The sequence below is a fragment of the Homo sapiens genome, chromosome 18, assembly GCF_000001405.40.
Source record: "Homo sapiens chromosome 18, GRCh38.p14 Primary Assembly".
Taxonomy (NCBI): domain Eukaryota; kingdom Metazoa; phylum Chordata; class Mammalia; order Primates; family Hominidae; genus Homo; species Homo sapiens.
In genome coordinates, this window is record NC_000018.10 from 63363494 (window position 1) to 63382011 (window position 18518).

The window sequence follows — 18518 nt, forward strand, 5'->3', positions numbered from 1 at the left end:
AGTTTACTGAGAATGATGGTTTCCAATTTCATCCATGTCCCTACAAAGGATATGAACTCATCATTTTTTATGGCTGCATAGTATTCCATGGTGTATATGTGCCACATTTTCTTAATCCAGTCTATCATTGTTGGACATTTGGGTTGGTTGAATCTTATTTTCTTAATGCACATTTATGCAAGATTAGCTCTACAACAGATGAAAAGAATGGCCACCTGAATATTTATTTGAAATGACTGCTTAGTATAAAAGTAATATACAATCACAAGGAAATCCTGAAAAGTAAAGCTCTTCTTGCACTATTCTACCCCTATCTACAGTTCAGCTATACTGGCTTTCAATTATGGAATTATTCCTAATATTCACTGTTATACATAAATCATGCTGGGAGGAAGATCTCTGACTCCATGTTAGGATTTTAACATCATTGGGAAGTGTCTCCTACGCAAATGCACCTATCTCTATGGGACTCATAGGCATCCCTTACTTCTTTTTAGCTTCAACCTGCCACCACTGAAGAGATTTATTTGGTGGGTAATCAGCCAGTTATCAGCAGAAGATTACTGTAAAAACCCTCCAACCACAGTACCTTGGCACATCCTACTTCCCTTGCAACGAATGCTCTTCTCCCCACTTCATCTGACACCTACTCGCCCATCAAATCTCAGCTCAAATACCACTTCCTCAGGAAAGCCTTCACTGTCTCCCCTGCCCCCACACTGACACACTTTTCAGCACTGTATTTCTTCTTTATGACATGCACATAATAAACAGCTCTAGATTTATTTGTGTGATTATCTGATTCACAACCACCTCTCCTATCACCTACCCATAAACTCCATTAAAAATACCAATTATTTTTCTGTTCTCCACTATATTCCTAGCACTTAGCCTGGGGAGGGCTCAATATATATTATATATTTCACTGAATAAGTGAACAATGCAACATTATTTTTCTTTTTTTTTTTTTGAGACAGTCTTGCTCAGTCACCCAGGCTGGAGTGCAGTGGCACGATCTCAGCTCACTGCAACCTCCGCCTCCCAGGTTCAAGCGATTCTCTTGTCTCAGACACCCAAGTAGTGGGGATTACAGGCGTGCGCCAGCACGCCCAACTAATTTTTGTATTTTTAGTAGAGATGGGGTTTCACCATGTTGGCCAGGCTGGTCTCGAACTCCTGACCTCAAGTTATGCACTCTCCTTGACCTCCCAAAGTGCTGGGATTATAGGAGTGAGCCACTGTACCCGGCCATATCGTTCTAGTCACTGTCCCTATGCAAATTACATAATATTGCATAGTATTGTCTCCTGTTTTTAAAAAATTATATTGTAATGTCTTATTTGTCAAAAAACGAAAAGGTTTCACAATACTTCATCAAATAGCTGCATCAAAACTTCAACGTTTCCCTATAACCAGACATTTAGATTTTTCCTAATATTCACTGTTATACATAAATCATGCTGGGAGGAAGATCTCTGACTCCATGTTAGGATTTTAACATCATTGGGAAGTGTCTCCTACGCAAATGCACCTACCTCTATGGGACTCATAGGCATCCCTTACTTCTTTTTAGCTTCAACCTGCCACCACTGAAGAGATTTATTTGGTCGGTAATCAGCCAGTTATCAGCAGATTACTGTAAAAATATAGCTGTTGTTGGCCGGGCGCGATGGCTCGCGCCTGTAATCCCAGCACTTTCGGAGGCTGAGGTGGGTGATTTTCTGCTTTTTTCCTGCAATTTTACTACCGTAACTAGATAGAAAACACTAGTATATAAAATTGTTTTAAAAATGAAACAATTGTTATAAGTTTGTTCTTAATTATGTATGGGCAGACAGTTTAACCATCAGCTCCCTCTCCCAACAATACCACAGTCAACTCCTAACAAATCTCAAGAACAATTACACTTTTCACTCTTCTTATGACATTAAAAAAGAAGACAGATGGTGACACCATGTGAACTATTCATGTCATTCTCACATTACTTAGAGTGTGAAATAATAATCCTGCGTATTAAAGCGGGATGGTAAAAATAAATTCTTCTTGGTCCACCTGAACAGACACAGCATTTATTATCTCACCTATGACCTGCCGCGGGATGGGGCTGGAAGGACTGGAGTCAAGGCTCAGTGAAACTGTCTTACAAATAAGGAATTCCAATTTTCATTCTGCGTTTAGCTTTAGTTTTTGCAAAGTTATGCTCTATAAACTCAAGCTCTGAAAGGATCCAAGGTTTAAAGCCACGCTTTTGAGGCAGCAGTTCTCTTGCGGATGTAAAACTTTCAGAATTTAGAGTGTCAAGTTTTGCCTTTCTCTTATTTATTTTTTGTAATGAATCCACACTCTTTCCCCATTAGGAACAGGAGGTGTTGGAAAAAGCTAATAGCTTTACAAAGGAGAAATTAAACAGATACATTTTCTCATTCACAAACCCTTGTACAGATTTAAAGCATACTAAGAAAAACGACCATCTTATTTTATACCAGCTCAGCGGGGAGGCTCGGATCTCCGGTGCAGAGATAGGACAGGAAGAGGTGTGCGGCCAATTTTGTAACCAACCCTCCTTACTCCTAACTCCTCGCCTCACTGTGCCTCGGGTTTGGGAGATCCAAACGAGAATGCTCGTGAGAAAGCCACTGCAAACGGGAAAGTGCTGGGCGCAGGCAAGGAGGCATTCTCTCTGTTTAAGAAAGGTGCCACATTTGCAGAACAGGGATCGCTGAATATGCGAGCTTCCGCCAAGAAATAAATCACACCTATCCACCTCTCCTTCATTCCTCGCACACAAGCCTTGTCGTTTAGCTCATCCTTCCCACTAGAAAACAGCAAAGGATTGCATTGGAGCAGCAATCAGCAGATGCCACGCTGAGCTCAGAGACAAGCAGTGTAGACGGGACAGGCGTCCCAATACCGCTAAGCCACCACCGCCAGCCCGCTGGGTTCTGAGCAGTTTCCCCAGGTGAGTCACTTCCTGGAATCCTCTGGCAGCGGCTCTTCCCGTCACTCGCACAGGCCATCTTCCAGTTCCGAGCTGCCTCGGCGGGTCCCGGCGGCTGGGACCCCACTTCCCCGCTGTCTGCCCCCGCCCGGGGCCGCGCGCCGCACCCTGCACACCACCGACCGCTGTGTCCTTGGCAAAGTTTCTCAGCCTCTCTGTGCCTCAGTTGACTCATCGGAAAAACTGAGGACAAAACATCCACATCCCAGGGATGTTGCATGGATTCACGAGCAGCCACAGAACCCCTGGGGCCCCGGGAACCCTGCGGCCGGCGGGGTCCCCCGTCGCACGCTCTCCGGCCCTAGGAGGAGCCCGAGGCTGCGGAGGGCGGGTCCGCGAGGCCGGGTGCCGGGGCCGGGGGAAAAGCGCCGGGGTGGACGGCGGCAGGTGACCTTCCCCATTTGGCCATGCCTTCCTGGGGACCGCGGCCTGGAAAAAGGGACGTAGGCTACGCGGCCTCGGCGGCGGAAAGGCCGCGCGGGCCGGTAAGTCGGGGGGCAGCAACAGGAGGCCACTCACCACCACATGCGCCCCGGGCAGGGCGAGGGGCTTGGGGCTGATGAGCGGAGACACCATGTACAGCAGCAGCACGAAGGCCACGAGGAAGGCGGCAGCCAGCAGCAGCATCGCTCCGCGGGGCCAGGGGCCCGGAGCGGCCGGGCGGGGGCCGCCGGGCAAGGCGCGCAGGGCTGGGCTGCGGCGAGGCGAGAATCACGCGCGGCGGGCGGGCGCCTGGAGTGTTTGGGTTTGCGGGCCGGGGCGGGCCGCGGCGGAGGGGAAGAGGAGGAGCCGGCGCGCGCGCCACCCAGGCGGGGCGGTGCTTCCAGGGGGCGAGTAGGCCGCCACCGCCACCGCCACCGCCACCACTGCCAGAATCGCCTCTCGGGGGTCGCCGGGTGTCTCCCACTCCCCCGGCCTCGGGACGGGGCCCGCAGTCCGCAGCCTCTCCCGTGGAAACCGGGCCTCCCGTCCCTGTGCGTCGCGAGCGGGCTCCGGACAGCGCCAGATGCGAGCGCGCCGGGAAGGGCTGCGAAGACTCGCTCTTCGGGAGCTCGAATGGCTTCTTAGGACCCCGCAGGGCGGGTTTCCAGGCCTGCCACGGCCTCCAGTGTGGGCGTGACGAGCGCTCCTCCCTGGAGTTCAGCCCTCGGCTTGGGACTGCCCGCTGGGTTGCTCGGAGGCCCCGGAGCATCGGAAAGGGCGGCTGGAGGCTCCCGGAGCGGGCTCAGCCTGGGAGCCCAGCGACTACGCTCTGAAATCCCGGGCTCCATTCCATATTTTTTGGCGTTTTTAGAAGATGGTCACGGCCCACTTTCGCTTTTCAGAGGACCGGAAAGCCTTAACAGGGAGTTTTGAGGAATCACTAAGGTAATTCAATTTCATTGAGTTCAGAGTTCATCTTTACCAAGCAGGTTCAAAACAAATAAATAACGCAAACAACTCAGCTTTATTAAGGTCTCATTCACGTACTATACCATACAATTCCCGATTTAACGTGCGTAATAGGCCGGGCGAGGTAGCTCGCGCCTGTAATCCCCGACCTTTGGGAGGCTGAGGCGGGCGGATCTCTTCAGGTCTGGAGTTCGAGACCAGCCTGGCCATGATGGTGAAACCCCCGTCTCTACTAAAAATACAAAAAATCACCCGGGCATGGTGGCGTATGCTTGTAATCCCAGCTACCCTGGAGGCTGAGGCAGGAGAATCGCTTGAACCCGGGAGGCAGAGATTGCGGTGAGATCGCGCCACTGCACTCCAGCCTGGGTGACAGATCAAGACTCCGTCTCAAAAATAAATAAATAAATAAAGCTTATAATAAATTGTCTTTAATATAGTCACAGTTGTAGACCCATCACTACCATAAATTTTAGAACATTTTTGTCACAACCCCCCAAAATCCTATACTCATTGGCAGTCACGACCCATTTCCTCCCAAGCCCCGCCCAAGCCTAAGCAATCCCTCATGTTTCTGTCTCTATAATCTTGCCTATTCGGGATATTTCACATAAATGGAATCATATAATATGTAGCCTTTTTCATCCTATCTTTCACTTACTGTAATGTTTTCAAGGTTCATCCATGATATGAAGTACTACATGTTAATACTTCATTTATTTTTATTGCCAAATAATATCCCATTGTATGACTATACGACATTTTAATTTTCCATTCATCAATTGAGGAATATTTAGGTTGTTTCCACTTTTTGACTATTAGAATTATGCTAACTGTAAATATTCATTTACCGGTTTTTGTGTGGGCATTATGTTTCATTTCTCTTGGGTACATGCCTAGTAGGGGAGTTGCTACATCTTACGGCAACTCTATGTTTAACTATTTGAGGAATTGCCAGAAGTTTTCCAAAGTGAGTACAACATTTTGTGTTCCCACCAGCAGTGTATGTGGGTTCCAATTTCTCTACATCTTCACTAACAGTTGTTATCATCCGTCTTTCTGATTATAGCTTTTTTAGTTGGTGTGAAGTCTCATTGTGATTTTAATTTGCATAGAGGCACATATTTTTGTTTGCTTACTTGCTTTTCATTTTTGTTGTTGTTTCTAGAAATACTAGGGAGCGAAGGAGAAAAAAAAGTTTTTCTTTTCCTTTTTTTCTTGACTTACAGCAGTTAGCCAAACTGCAAAATTTGAAGGCATAATGTCCAAGACTTCTGATATCAATGCAAGTTTAGAGGTTCCTGAACCACCCTCAGGTTTGATCATTCACTGGAAGGACTCACAGAACTCACTGAAAGCCATTATGCTCATAGTTATGGTTTATTATGGGGAAAGAATACAGATCAAAGTCAGCTAAGGAAAGAAATGCCTAAGGCAGAGTCTGGAGGGCTCCAAATGCAAAGCTCCTGTTGTCATCTCCCACGGAGTCAGGCTGTGTTACCTTCCCAGCATTGGTATGTGACAGTATGCTTGGAGTATTGTCAACCAGGGACACTTGTCTGAGCTTCTGTGTCCAGAGTTTTTACTGGGACTCCAGCACATAGGCTTGATCAATTGTCCACTTGGTTGGACTGAGACTCCAACTAGACTGATAGTGCATGACAAAAGCCCCCTAATTCACATACTTGGTCTCTCTGGAATGGCCAGTCTCCACCCTAAAATCCAGTTTGCCCAGTCCCCATCTAAACAGAGGTACTCCTATCAGGTATGACGTAGATAACCTCCCATAAGCCAAGGGCAAAAGTCAAACCTTCTCTTTGGGCAAGACTGAATCCTTTACAACACGGCTGCCACCTGGCCTTTGGCCAAAGCTCTCTTACAGTAAAATGAACATATATCTGACATTTGGAGGAGCCAGTGTAGAGTAGGAGGCTTTTAACTCAATTTCTCAATACATTGGCCATCAGTGTGAACATTAAAACCTCACTTACAATCCCAGAGTTACACTGTATTATGATATGGTAGTAAACATAATTTGAAAAATTAGAGTCAAAAGATAGTGGCAGATAGATATAAGACTTCCACTCTGCCATCAACAACTGGTCCAGTTCATCATCATATTGTATGACCAAAATGTCTCCCAGAGAAATGCCACTCAGGCTTGAAAGTTCCCATCTGATGCTATCAGTTTCCAAAAACAGAAGTGGCCTTCACCCTTTAGGTACCAGACTGTCTTTTTAACATGTTTTGTCCACCAAGTATCCTATAGTTTTTAATATTAACAACTTGTGTGGGCTCAGCAATCTTACTGGTTCCCATTTAGCATGTCCAATCAATATTGTCTGAAGGGCAGGGCCACCTGTCTTGTGTTTTACATTACTAGGTAAAGGAAATTTTCCTCAGGCAATATCCATCCCCATAGTACATTCATGTAAAGGGGATGCAACCACTCCAAATAGAGTCTCTTCAGACATTCCAGTTTCTATCCAAACTTTCATTTTAATCCCATCAAATGTATTTTCATATCTTTCCAATCTGTTGCCTTGGTTAGAATTTCACTAACAGAAAAACAGTGCATGGGGCTCCCATGTCAAAGAATTTTAGAAATGTTTCTTTTCCACCCCTGACAATTTACCCATTCACGTACATTTGGTCTTGGACCCCAGCCAGAGATTAGGCCAATGGGCCTAGGTTCTTTCTTCAGTTTTTGTTTGTTTTGTTTTGTTTGTGTGTGTGTGTGTGACAGAGTCTCGCTCTGTTGCCCAGGCTGGAGTGCAGTGGCATGATCTCGGCTCACTGCAACCTCTGCCTCCTGGGTTCAGGCAATTCTCCTGCCTCAGCCTCCTGAGAAGCTGGGATTATAAGCATGCACCACCATGCCTGGCTAATTTTTGTATTTCAGTAGAGATGGGGTTTCACCATGTTGGCCAGGCTGGTCTCAAACTCCTGACCTCAGGTGATCCACCCACCTCGGCCTCCCAAAGTGCTGGGATTACAGGCATAAGCTACCTGCCCGGCCTTTCTTCAGTTCTTACCTTGACTACTTTGCATATCTTCACCCCAGGTGATTGGAAGTCAGGTTTCTTACAGTCATCTTTGCTTTGCAGCTTTTAAAATTTATCCAAACTAGGTTGAATAAAGTGGATTTGTTTAGCGCCCTTCAATGTTGGGGGACTAGTAAGGGTTTCCATTTGTCCATCCAACTTCTGAGAGTGCTGCATTAAGACTTTTGTTTCAACACCACCAATGCCCACTTTATTTATGATATCTCTTAATAACTATTTTTAAATTTCTATCCATTCTCTCTCCCTTTTCTCTTTCCTTAGTCTCTTGGAATAAGTCTGCTCTCTGTTGTTTTAGCATAACTTTTCCCTTTGGAGGTGGCCCTGAACTAGCAGCTATGGCTCAATGGCTAGAATTCCAGCTTGGCCCAGCATCAGGTTCTGCCCCAACACTATCCCTATAATTTAGTGATTACAGATAATAACAATCAAGAGATTCCATGTTCAGCTTTCTGACGTTGTTGTTCCTTTGCATTTATTTTGGCCTCCAGTGAGCCAATTCTCTATGAATGAGACCCCATGATATCTAAATTCCATTGGTAAATTTACTTCAAGTAAGATAAGTAAACCCTATGACTACCTGGGATTTATTTCAAGGATGCAAGACTGTTTCAATATTTCAAATTCAATCAGTATAATCTATCATATTAACAGGTGAAAGAAGGAAAATCACATGATCATACATCAATCAATGTAGAAAAGGCATTTGACAAAATTTGACACCCATTCATAATTAAAATTCTCAGAAATATAAGAATATAGAGGAACTTCCTCAACTTTATGAAGAACATCTGTAGAAAAACCTACAGCTAATGGTGAAATACTGAATGCTTCCTCCATAAGATCAAGGACAAAGCTAAGAAACTTGCTCTCATCATTCTCATTCAACAGTCCTAGAAGTTCTAGATCAATAAGGCAAGAAATAATAAGGCTAGAAAAGGAAGTAAACATCATACAGATCAGAAAGTAATAAGTAAAACGACTCCTACTTGCAGATGGCATGATTGATTATGCAGAAAATCCCTAAGAATCTTGAAAAAAGAAAAACACCTAGTAGAATTTAAGCATCTCCAGAAAATTTGCATAATACAAAAATAAAAGAATATACAAAAATAAAATGCATTTTTATATACTAGCCATGAACTTGTGGACACTACAATTAAAAATATGATTTCATTTATAATTTCTGAAAGAAATGAAATAGGTGTAATCTAACAAAACATGTACAGGACTTGCATGTTGAAAACTGTGCAATGCTGATGAAAGAAATCAAAGATCTAAATAAACTGACATACTATGTTCATGAATTAGAAGACTCTGTATAATAAAGATGTCAATTTTTTTCCAAACTGATATATTATTTTAATGCACTGCCTATTCAAACTATAGCAATATTTTTGTAAACATAGACAAGATTACTATAAAATTTATATGTAAAGGCAAAGAAATTAAAATAGTGAAAACATTTTTTAAAAGCAGAATAAAGTGGAAGTAATCAATCTACCTGCTTTCACGACTGATTATATAGCTACAGCAATGAAAACTGTGTGGTACTGGCGGAAAGGCAGACACATAGATCAACAGGCCCCAAAAATAAACCCACAAAAATACACCTAACTGATTTTTGACAAAAGTGCAAAAGCAATTTAATGGAGGAAAGATACCCTTTTCAAGAAATGGGACTGCCAGGCTAGGCATGGTGGTTCATGCCTGTAATCCCAGCTCTTTGGGAGGCCGAGGTGGGTAGATCACCTGAGGTCAGGAGTTCGAGACCAGCCTGGCCAACATGGTGAAACCCCATATCTACTAAAAATAAAAAAATTAGCTGGGCATGGTTGTGAGAGCCTGTAATCCCAGCTACTCGGGAAGCCAAGGCATGAGAAACACTTGATCCCAGGAGGTGGAGGTTTCAGTGAGCCAACATCACACCATCGCACTCCAGCCTGGGCAAAAAGAGGGAAACTCTGTCTCAAAAAAAAAAAAAGAAAAGAAAAGAAAAAAAGAAATGGGACTGCCACAACTGGACGTCCATAGACAAAGAAAAACAAACAAATAGAAAAAAAATACCTCAACCAAAAGTTTATACCATCTGCAAAACTTAAGAAAGGGTGATGGCTAATTTTGTGTGTCAACTTCATTGAGCCATGTGGTGCCCTGATATTCAGTCAAACATTATTCTGGGTGTTTCTGTGAGGGTATTTTGGATGAGATTTATCATTTAACCTAGAAGACTGAGTAAAGCAGATTGTACCTCCTACTGTGGGTGGACCTCATCCAGTCAGTTGAAGGCCTGAATAGAACAAAAAGGAAGATCCTTCCTTTCATAAGAGAGAATTCTTCCTGTCTGATGATCTTTAGACTAGGACATTGGCTTTTTCCTCTGCCTTTGGCTTGAACTGAAACATTAGCTCTCCTGGGTCTCTAGCTTGCCAACTCGCCCTGCAAATCTTGGGATTTTCCAGCCTCTATAATTGCATAAGCCAATTTCTTATAATAAATCTCTTTGCTTATGTATACATCCTATTCATTCTATTTCTCAGGAGTACCCTAAATAATACAGAGAGGATCATGGACTTAAATCTAAAACTATAAAATGTTAGGAAAAACACACTTTGAGAGCTAGGATTAGATAAAGACTTCCTAGATTTGGCACCAAAAGCACAGTCCCTAAAAGAAAAATTGATAAATTGGGCTTCATCAAAATTTAACATTTTGACTCTGCAAAATACCCTGACAAAAGGAAAAAAAGGTAACCTGCAGATTGGGAGAAAATATTTGCAAACCACATATCTGACAAAGGACTAGTATCCAGGATATGCAAATAATTCTCAAAACTCAACAATAAAAAAATTGAAACCTTCAGGTGCAAAGGCTCATGCCTGTAATCCCAGCACTTTGAGAGGCAGAGGCGGTGGACCACATGAAGTCAGGAGTTCGAGACCAGCCTGGCCAACATGGTGAAACCCCATCTCTACTAGAGATACACAAAAAACTAGCCGGGCATGGTGGTGGGTGCCTGTAATGCCAGCTCCTCAGGAGGCTGAGGCAGGAGAATCTGGGAGGTAGAGGTTGCAGTGAGCTGAGAATCACACCATTGCACTCCAGCCTGGGCAACAAGAGTGAAACTCCATCTCAATAATAATAATAATAAAACCAATTATAACATGGGAAATTTACATGAGATATTTCCATGAGGAAGACACACAGATAGGAAATAAACACATGAAGAAATATGTCCAACATCATCTGCCATTAGAGAAATACAAATTAAAACCACAATGGTCTGGGTGCAGTGCCTCACGCTTGTAATCCCAGCACTTTTGGAGGCCAAGGCACGTGAATCACCTGAAATCAAGAGTTTGAGACCAGCCTGGCCAACATGGTGAAAACCCGTCTCTACTAAAAATACAAAAATTAGCCGGGCATGGTGGCATGCCCTTGTAATCCCAGCAACTCAGAAGGGTGAGGCAGAAGAATCACTTGAACCCAGGAGGCAGAGGTTGCAGTGAGCTGAGATCACGCCACTGCACTTCATCCTGGGTGACAGAGTGAGACCTTATCTCAAAAAATATATATAAAATAAAACCACAATGATATATCAGTATATGTTGATAAAAATGGCTAAAACAAAAAATAGTGACAACACCAAATGTTGGTGAGGATGTGGAGAAACTAGATTACTCATACATTGCTGATGGGAATGTAAAAAATGGCACAGCCTTTCTGGAAAACAGTCTGGCAGTTTGTTGAAAAAAAGAAAAGCAAAAACTGAGCCTGCAACTACTATGTGACCCAGCAATCACATTCCTGGGCATTTATCCCAGAGAAATGAAGACTTATGTTCACACAAAAACATGTATATAAATGTTTATAGCAACTTCATCCAAAATAGTAAAAAACTGGAAGCAATTCAGATGTCCTTCAACAAGTGAATGGTTAAACAAACTGTGGTACATATGTACCGTGGAACTCAACAATACTCAACAGTACCATGCTACTTGACAATAAAAAAGAATGGATGGCAGAGTACAGTGGCTCATGCCTGTAATCCCAGCACTTTGGGGGACCAAGTCAGGCAGATAACTTGAGTCCAGGAGTTTGAGACCAACCTGGGCAACATGGCAAAACACCGTCTCTACAAAAATACAAAAATTAGCTGGACGTGGTGGCATGTGCCTGTAGTCCCAGCTACTCAGGAGGCTGAGGCATGAGAATAGCTTGAACCCAGGAGGTGGAGGCTGCAGGGAGCCAAGATTGTGCCACCGCACTCCAGCCTGGGCAACAGAGCAAAACCCTGTCTCAAAAAAAAAAAAAAAAAAAAAAAAGGATTATTGATACACACAGCAACCAGGATGAATTATGCTAAGGGAAAAAAGTCAATCCCAAAAAGTTGACAAAAAGTCAATCCCACAGTACATGCTATGTGATTCCATTTATCTAACATTCTTGAAATGGCAATATCATAAATAAATAACAGGCTGGAGTGGTGGCTCACACCTGTAATCCCAACACTTTGGGAGGCTGAGGCGAACAGATCACTTGAGCTCAGGAGTTCAAGACCAACCTGGGCAACGTGGTGAAACCCTGCTTCTACCAAAGGTACAAAAACTTAGCCAGGCATGGTGTCCTGCATTTGTAGTCCTAGCTACTTGGAAGGCTGGAGGTGGGATAATTGCTTGGGGGTGGGCAGGGGAATGGGAGGTAGAAGTTACAGTGAGCTGAGATTGCACCACTGCACTCCAGCCTGGGTGACAGAGCAAGATTATCTCAAAAAATTTAAATTTTTTTTTTAAAAAACTAACATCATTGGCCGGGCACGGTGGCTCACACCTGTAATTCCAGCACTTTGGGAGGCCGAGGTGGATGGATCACCTGAGGTCAGGAGTTCGAGACCAGCCTGACCATGGTGAAACCCTGTCTCTACTAAAAATACAAAATTAGCTGGGAGTGGTGGTGCATGCCTGTGATCCCAGCTACTTGGGAGGCTGAGGCAGGAGACTTGCTTGAACCCAGGAGGCAGAGGTTGTAGTGAGCCAAGATTGTGCCATTGCACTCCAGCCTGGGCAACAAAAGTGAAACTCCATCTCAAACAAAACAAAACAAAAAATCAAAAACTAACATCATTTCTAGGGGTTAAGGAGGAAGTGGAACAGGAGGGAAGTAGATGTGGCTATAAAAATGGGAGCATGTGATAATAAGAATGTTCTGTATCTTGACTATATCTATGTCAATATCCTGGTTGTGATATAGTGGTATAATTTTGCAGGATGTTACCACTGGGGGAAAGTGGGTACAGGGGATCTCTGTTTTGTTCCTTACAACTACATGTGCATCTACAATTATCTTAAAGTAACAAGTTTAATAAAAACAGAGAAAATTAAAGTGAAAGAGGACAGCAGGAGAGTGGGTGGGTGAGATGCAGCAATGCAAGAAGAGGCAGGAGAGATCTTAAGCACAACTAGGACTCAACCCACCATTGCTGCTTTGAAAGTGGAGGAGGGGGCCACAAGCCAAGGAGTGTAGGTGGCCTCGAGAAAGTGGGAACACCTCTCAGCTGACAGCCAGCAAGAACATGGGACCTCAGTCCTACAACCACAAGGAATTGAATTCTGCTCACAACCTGAATGACCAAGGAAACTAATTCTCCCTAGGCTGGAGTACAGTGATGCAATCATAACCCAGGCTGGAATGCAGTGGTGTGATTACAGCTCACTGCAGCCTCAAACTCCTGGTCTCAAGCAATCCTCCCACCTCAGTTTCCTGAGTAGCTGGGACTACAGGCTTGCAACACTATCTCTGGCTGACGTCCTGATTTTAGCCCAGTGAGACCTGTACTGGACTTCTTACTGACAGAACTGTAAGATAATGCATCTGCATTGGTTTAAGCCACTAACTTTGTGGTAATTTGTTACAACAGTATTACGAAACTAATACAAGTTCTTCTTGCCTATTCAGATTCACACATACCAAAAACACAGAATGCATATAACCTAAATTCTGGCCACAACCTACTCGCCATCCATGAAAACCCTGCAAAATACAAACTCAGAAGCACTATATTGGGTGACTGGCTCTCAGCCCCTCAGAACCCAGCTGACAATGCAGGTTCTTCTTGATATTTTTATCATCCTGGTGATACTGTGTCTTACAGAAAGAATTTTTTTGGTCTCTATGGCATTATACCCAAATTTTCCTGTATTGGTCAACCTGATGCAGTTCATCAGCAATGTCTTTTTTTCTAAAAGTTCCTCACTCTACCTTCTGCCTTGTGAGCTGGTTTATTTATCAAGATTGATTTCAAATGTGTCAGTGGCTCAGTGAGGTTTTCCCAAGCAACCTAAGAAGAGTATTTTTTCTCTAATCCACATTTTCCACATTTTAATTATAACATTTATCACATTGTATTATAAAGTAATCACATGACTTATAACTCTTTGACTCAGAAGATTCTTCCACAGTGCCTTGCTGAATTCTGGACACCTAAGTAGGTGTCCAATAATTTATTGTTAAATTGACTGATGATTTGGTCCTCAGGAAACTTGGAGTTAAATAAATGCATGGGTTATGACAAAGCAGAAATCTAAATAACTCCCTTCCTTCCTTCCTTCCTTCCTTCCTTCCTTCCTTCCTTCCTTCCTTCCTTCCTTCCTTCCTTCCTCCTTCCCCCCTTCCTTCCTTCCTTCCTTCTGTTCATTCCAGGTCTTTAGATAATAACTCTTTCAACCAATTGCCTATCAGAAAATCTTGGAATCTGCCTATGACCTCCCAGTTTCCAGTTGTTCCACCTTTCTGGACCAAACCAATGTACATCTTACACGTATTGATTGATGTCTCATGTCTCCCTAAGATGTATAAACCAAGCTGCAGCCCAACCACCATGGGCATATGTTCTCAGGATCTCCCGGGGCTGTGTCATGGGCCATTGTTCACTCATATTTGGCTCAGTATAAATCTCTTCAAATGTTTTAGAATTTGACTCTTTTGGTTGACATGAAAAAGTTGAAAGCAGGAAATAAACAATAAGAACCATTAAGCTAATTTCTAATCTTATCTGATAATTTTTTTTAAATATTTTTTGTATCTTGTTGAAACCATTAAAAAGATATTTTGGATTACCTTAGAATAGCAATATTGGCATTCTTACTCTTCTTACATTCTTAAAAATGAACAAAATATAGAAAATTAAATTAAAAACACTTTTTTTTGAGATGGAGTCTCTATCTGTCACCCAGGCTAGGGTGTGGCATGATCTCAGCTCACTGTAACCTCCGCCTCCTGGGTTCAAGCGACTCTCCTGCCTCAGCCTCCCGAGTAGCTGGGATTACAAGCATGTGCCCCCATGCCTGGCTAATTTTTGTATTTTTAGTAGAGATGGGTTTCATATGTTGGCCAGGCTGGTCTTGAACTCCTGACCTCAGCGGATCTGCCTGCCTCAGTTTCCCAAAGTGCTAGGATTACAGGCGTGAGCCATTGTGCCCGGCCTGAAAGATACATAGTTTCTTTTTTTTCTTCTTCTTCTTTTTTTTTGAGACAGAGTTTTGCTCTTGTCACCCAGTCTGGAGTGCAATGGCACAATCTTGGCTCGCTGCAACCTCTGCCTCCTGGGTTCAAGTGATTCTCCTGCCTCAGCCTCCTGAATAGCTGGGATTACAGGCACCTGCCACCATGCCTGGGTAATTTTTGTGTTTTTAGTAGAGATGAGGTTGCACCATGTTGGCCAGGCTGGTCTCGAACTCCTGACCTCAGGTGATCTGCCTGCCTTGGCCTTCTAAAGTGCTGGGATTACAGGTGTGAGCCACCGTGCTCGACTTGAAAGGTAAGTAATTTCTTTTGAAAGGAACTGGCACAATCCTGATACAGAGGTATTATGAGAGAAAAAAAAAAAAAGAGGGGAAAGAGCGGTGAAGAGCAGAAAGACTCCTCAATAGATTTACACTCAGGGAAAAAACAAAACAAAACAAAAAATCTTTTATTTGGATACTTAAATATTTCACCATGATTTAAAACATTTGGTGAAGCAGTTATTTTATGAAGGAAGACTACAAATGCAAGGACTCAGGGAAGAATGATGAAACAACAAGAGGAGATAAAAGTTACACTGGCAGAAATCAGGAAAGAAGTAAAAGTAAAAATCATCACAGATATGAAAATGAAAGTGAACGCAGGAGGAGAATAGAGTGAAAAACACAGTAAGGAACAGAAAGGAAATAATGAGTAAAGCAAACAAAATGAAATGAAAACAAAGAATTTAAAAGACAGAAAAAAAGATAAGAAAACAGACAAAGGATGTGAGTCGACATATGTAGAATAGGAATACCTGAAGAAAAAAAACAAGACATTAGAAATATTTTTAAAAATTTCAAATACACTTTCCTAAAATACTAAAGCATTTGAACATTTATATGTGTGTGTACACACATACACATAAATAGATAGATAGATAGGTAGATAGATATGATATTTTACACCAGGGAAAACTGACTGAAAATAATCAACATTGAGTCATTCTCTAGTAAGTATTGGATTTTAAAAGAGTGAAGACTTTGGTCAGTTAGACAAAATCATCAGGTCAGTTGTCTTAAAAAGAGATCAGGCTAGTTTCAGGTTTCTCCAGAGTGACATTCAACATGAGAGAACGATGCAACATCTGTCAGATCCTCAAGGAAGGAATGTTGTGTCAAGGTTTCACGTTCAGCGAATCTGTATTTCACCCATAAAAGTTTCAGACAAATAATTTTGAACATCTAATAACCAAGGAAATCTTTTTCCCATAAGCAGTTCTTGAGGAAATTATTAAGACTACAGGATGACTCAGCCAGCCAATAGCTGACTGGGAAAAGCATAGTAAAAGAGCAATCTTTTGAAAATTGAATCTATTTAACAGTACACCAAAGCCTAAAGCAAATGTGAGATGTAGGGTAAAGAATAATATGTATGTACATGTTATATGCAAAAATAATACAAAGGGCAAATTTTGGGAGAGGAAGGAGAAAAACGTGAAAGATGTGTGGGAAGCACTGAAGATCAGTTAGTCATTGATTCTTTTTTTTTCTTTTCTTTTTTTTTTTTTTGAGACGGAGTCTCACTGTGTCGCCCTGGCTGGAGTGCAGTAGCACGATCTCCGCTCACTGCAACCTCCACCTCCCGGGTTCAAGTGATTCTCATGCTTTAGCCTCCCGAGTAGCTGGGATTACAGGCTCCCACCACCTCACTCGGCTAATTTTTATACTTTTAGTAGAGACGGGATTTCACCATGTTGGCTGGGATGGTCTCAAACTCCTGACCTCAAGTGATCCGCCCGCCTCAGCCTCCCAAAGTGCTGGGATTACAGGCTTGAACCACCACGCCCGGCAGTTAGTCATAGATTCTATCACTAGATATTTTTTAAACTGCAGAAACGATTCTTTATCCTTCAGTGTTATTTATTTAGACATGTTTGCTTCATGTAGTGTTTAAGTGCATGTGTGGGTTTTTTTTCCCCGAACCATTTCAAAGTAATTTATAGACATCATGGCACTTCCTCTGCATCCCTGTATGAGCACACTTAAGCATATGTCTTCTAAAGTGAAGGGTACAATGCACACTAACATTACCTACAATACCATTATCGCACCTAAGGCAATAACAATTCCATAATATTACCTACAATCCAGCCCATATTCATATTTCTTCAATTGCCCCCCATTTTTTTTTCTAGATGGGATTTCACCATGTTGGGCAGGCTGGTCTTGAACTCCTAGCCTCAAGTGATCCACCTGCCCTGACCACTCAAAATGCTGGGATTGCGGGCGTGAGCCACTGTGTCCAGCCCAAATTGTCTTTTATAGCTTTTTTTTTTTTCCAAACTAGGATCCAAGCAAGGTTCATATATTGCATTGAGTTATACATCTCCAACTTTTTTTAATCTAGAAGAATAGAAGAATCTTCCAACCTTTTTAGAAAAATGACATTAACTTTTTTGAAGAGACTGGGTCAGTTGTCTTGTAGAAGACCCTGCATTCTCTTCTGACTGATTGATTTCTTGTGGTGTTATTTCTCTCTCCAGTGAATTTTCTGTAACCTGGCATTAGGTCTATGGCTCAATTAGATTCAGACTACACATTTTTTTATAAGAATACTTTGTAAGTGGTTTTCATGTTGCATCCTACCAGGTGGCACATGATGTCTGGTTGCCATTGTTAGTGATACTCAATTTGATTTCCTTGGCAAGGTGGTGACAGCCATAGCTCTCCATTGTAAAGCCAGTGTTCTCCTTGGCGGTGAGCAAGTAATCTGAGAGGACACTTCTGAATGTGGGTGGGTCATCACCAACAGTTCCTCCCTTTCCTATCTGCATATGCTGGTCCTCCCATGAAGAAGTAGAATTTATTTTTCATGCCGTAAATCTTGACTGGTCTTCTAACTTGTTTATTTCTTGGTCTGGGCCTTAAGAGGCATTGAAGCTTCCGGGATTGGGAGTAAGCTGCCATGGAAAGAAACTCAGGCTGGACTACTGCATGATGAGAGATCACATCAAAGAGAACAGTCCAGCCAGCCCAACTTGAGACACCAGACATGTGATGGAGCCATCTTGGATTCCTCACCCCAGCCAACACCATGTGGAGCAGAGGCAAACCCTCTCCATGGAGTTCTGCCTGAATTGCAGACTTGTGAATAATAATAAATGGCCATTTTAAGCCGTTAAGATTTTGAGTGGTTTATTATACACTCATAGGCCATGTAAATATCATCTCACTCAATAATTTTAACATCCATCAATGATCTTTGCCTGAATCATTTCATCGGGCTTGGCAAAGGGTATTTTAAATTCTGCTGTTCCCTTCACATTTATTAGCTGGCATTCTTCTGGAGAGAAAGAGAGAGAGAGAGAGCTTTCCCTCATCATCTAGGTATCAACTGCTATTCCTCTTAAAGAGGAAGAGCAAATGTTCAATGTCTCCCATAATTCCTAGCTTTCAGACTAAGAAGTTGTGTGATATTCACCACCAGTGGTGGCAAATGAGGCTCTCCCCCTCCACTTTTTCCCCTAGTCTTTAGCTGTTCCTCTTCAATGGCTGTGCGGTGCG

General features: G+C 42.9%; 1 protein-coding gene and 2 long non-coding RNA genes across 3 annotated transcripts in view, besides 7 other annotated features; 1 reads left to right on the plus strand and 2 right to left on the minus strand.

Moving 5' to 3' along the window:
- The window catches only part of KDSR (3-ketodihydrosphingosine reductase), a 39481-nt gene extending 35768 nt beyond the window's left edge, over positions 1 to 3713 (minus strand). Inside the window, exon 1 of the mRNA NM_002035.4 lies at positions 3518 to 3713. Coding sequence (NP_002026.1) covers positions 3518 to 3625 — 108 coding nt within the window. The 5' untranslated portion in view covers positions 3626 to 3713. The remainder of the gene's footprint in view (positions 1 to 3517) is intronic.
- On the minus strand, positions 200 to 3507 carry LOC124904317 (uncharacterized). The gene is made up of 2 exons (XR_007066400.1): positions 2757 to 3507; positions 200 to 1636 (listed from the first exon to the last, which is right to left on the minus strand). It is a non-coding gene; the product is annotated as an uncharacterized LOC124904317 (long non-coding RNA).
- Positions 2803 to 3097: an enhancer, noted in NCBI's record as "tiled region #13815; K562 Activating DNase unmatched - State 1:Tss". NCBI's record gives its function as "activates a minimal TATA promoter and a strong SV40 promoter by Sharpr-MPRA in K562 cells {active_cell/tissue: K562}" and the evidence as "EXISTENCE:reporter gene assay evidence [ECO:0000049][PMID:27701403]".
- Positions 2946 to 2995: a silencer, noted in NCBI's record as "silent region_9526". NCBI's record gives its function as "represses an Ori minimal core promoter by ATAC-STARR-seq in GM12878 lymphoblastoid cells {active_cell/tissue: GM12878}" and the evidence as "EXISTENCE:reporter gene assay evidence [ECO:0000049][PMID:35858748]".
- Positions 3137 to 4084: an enhancer, noted in NCBI's record as "H3K27ac hESC enhancer chr18:61033863-61034810 (GRCh37/hg19 assembly coordinates)". NCBI's record gives its function as "activates a minimal SCP1, AML or CMV promoter by ChIP-STARR-seq in primed H9 embryonic stem cells {active_cell/tissue: H9 hESC(primed)}" and the evidence as "EXISTENCE:reporter gene assay evidence [ECO:0000049][PMID:30033119]".
- Positions 3137 to 4085: a biological region, named in NCBI's record as "H3K27ac hESC enhancer GRCh37_chr18:61033863-61034810".
- Positions 3346 to 3405: a silencer, noted in NCBI's record as "silent region_9527". NCBI's record gives its function as "represses an Ori minimal core promoter by ATAC-STARR-seq in GM12878 lymphoblastoid cells {active_cell/tissue: GM12878}" and the evidence as "EXISTENCE:reporter gene assay evidence [ECO:0000049][PMID:35858748]".
- Positions 3476 to 3925: a silencer, noted in NCBI's record as "silent region_9528". NCBI's record gives its function as "represses an Ori minimal core promoter by ATAC-STARR-seq in GM12878 lymphoblastoid cells {active_cell/tissue: GM12878}" and the evidence as "EXISTENCE:reporter gene assay evidence [ECO:0000049][PMID:35858748]".
- KDSR-DT (KDSR divergent transcript) lies at positions 3831 to 18136 on the plus strand. The gene is made up of 2 exons (NR_186602.1): positions 3831 to 4366; positions 17884 to 18136. It is a non-coding gene; the product is annotated as a KDSR divergent transcript (long non-coding RNA).
- Positions 4036 to 4085: a silencer, noted in NCBI's record as "silent region_9529". NCBI's record gives its function as "represses an Ori minimal core promoter by ATAC-STARR-seq in GM12878 lymphoblastoid cells {active_cell/tissue: GM12878}" and the evidence as "EXISTENCE:reporter gene assay evidence [ECO:0000049][PMID:35858748]".
- Positions 18137 to 18518: the final 382 nt, after the last annotated feature.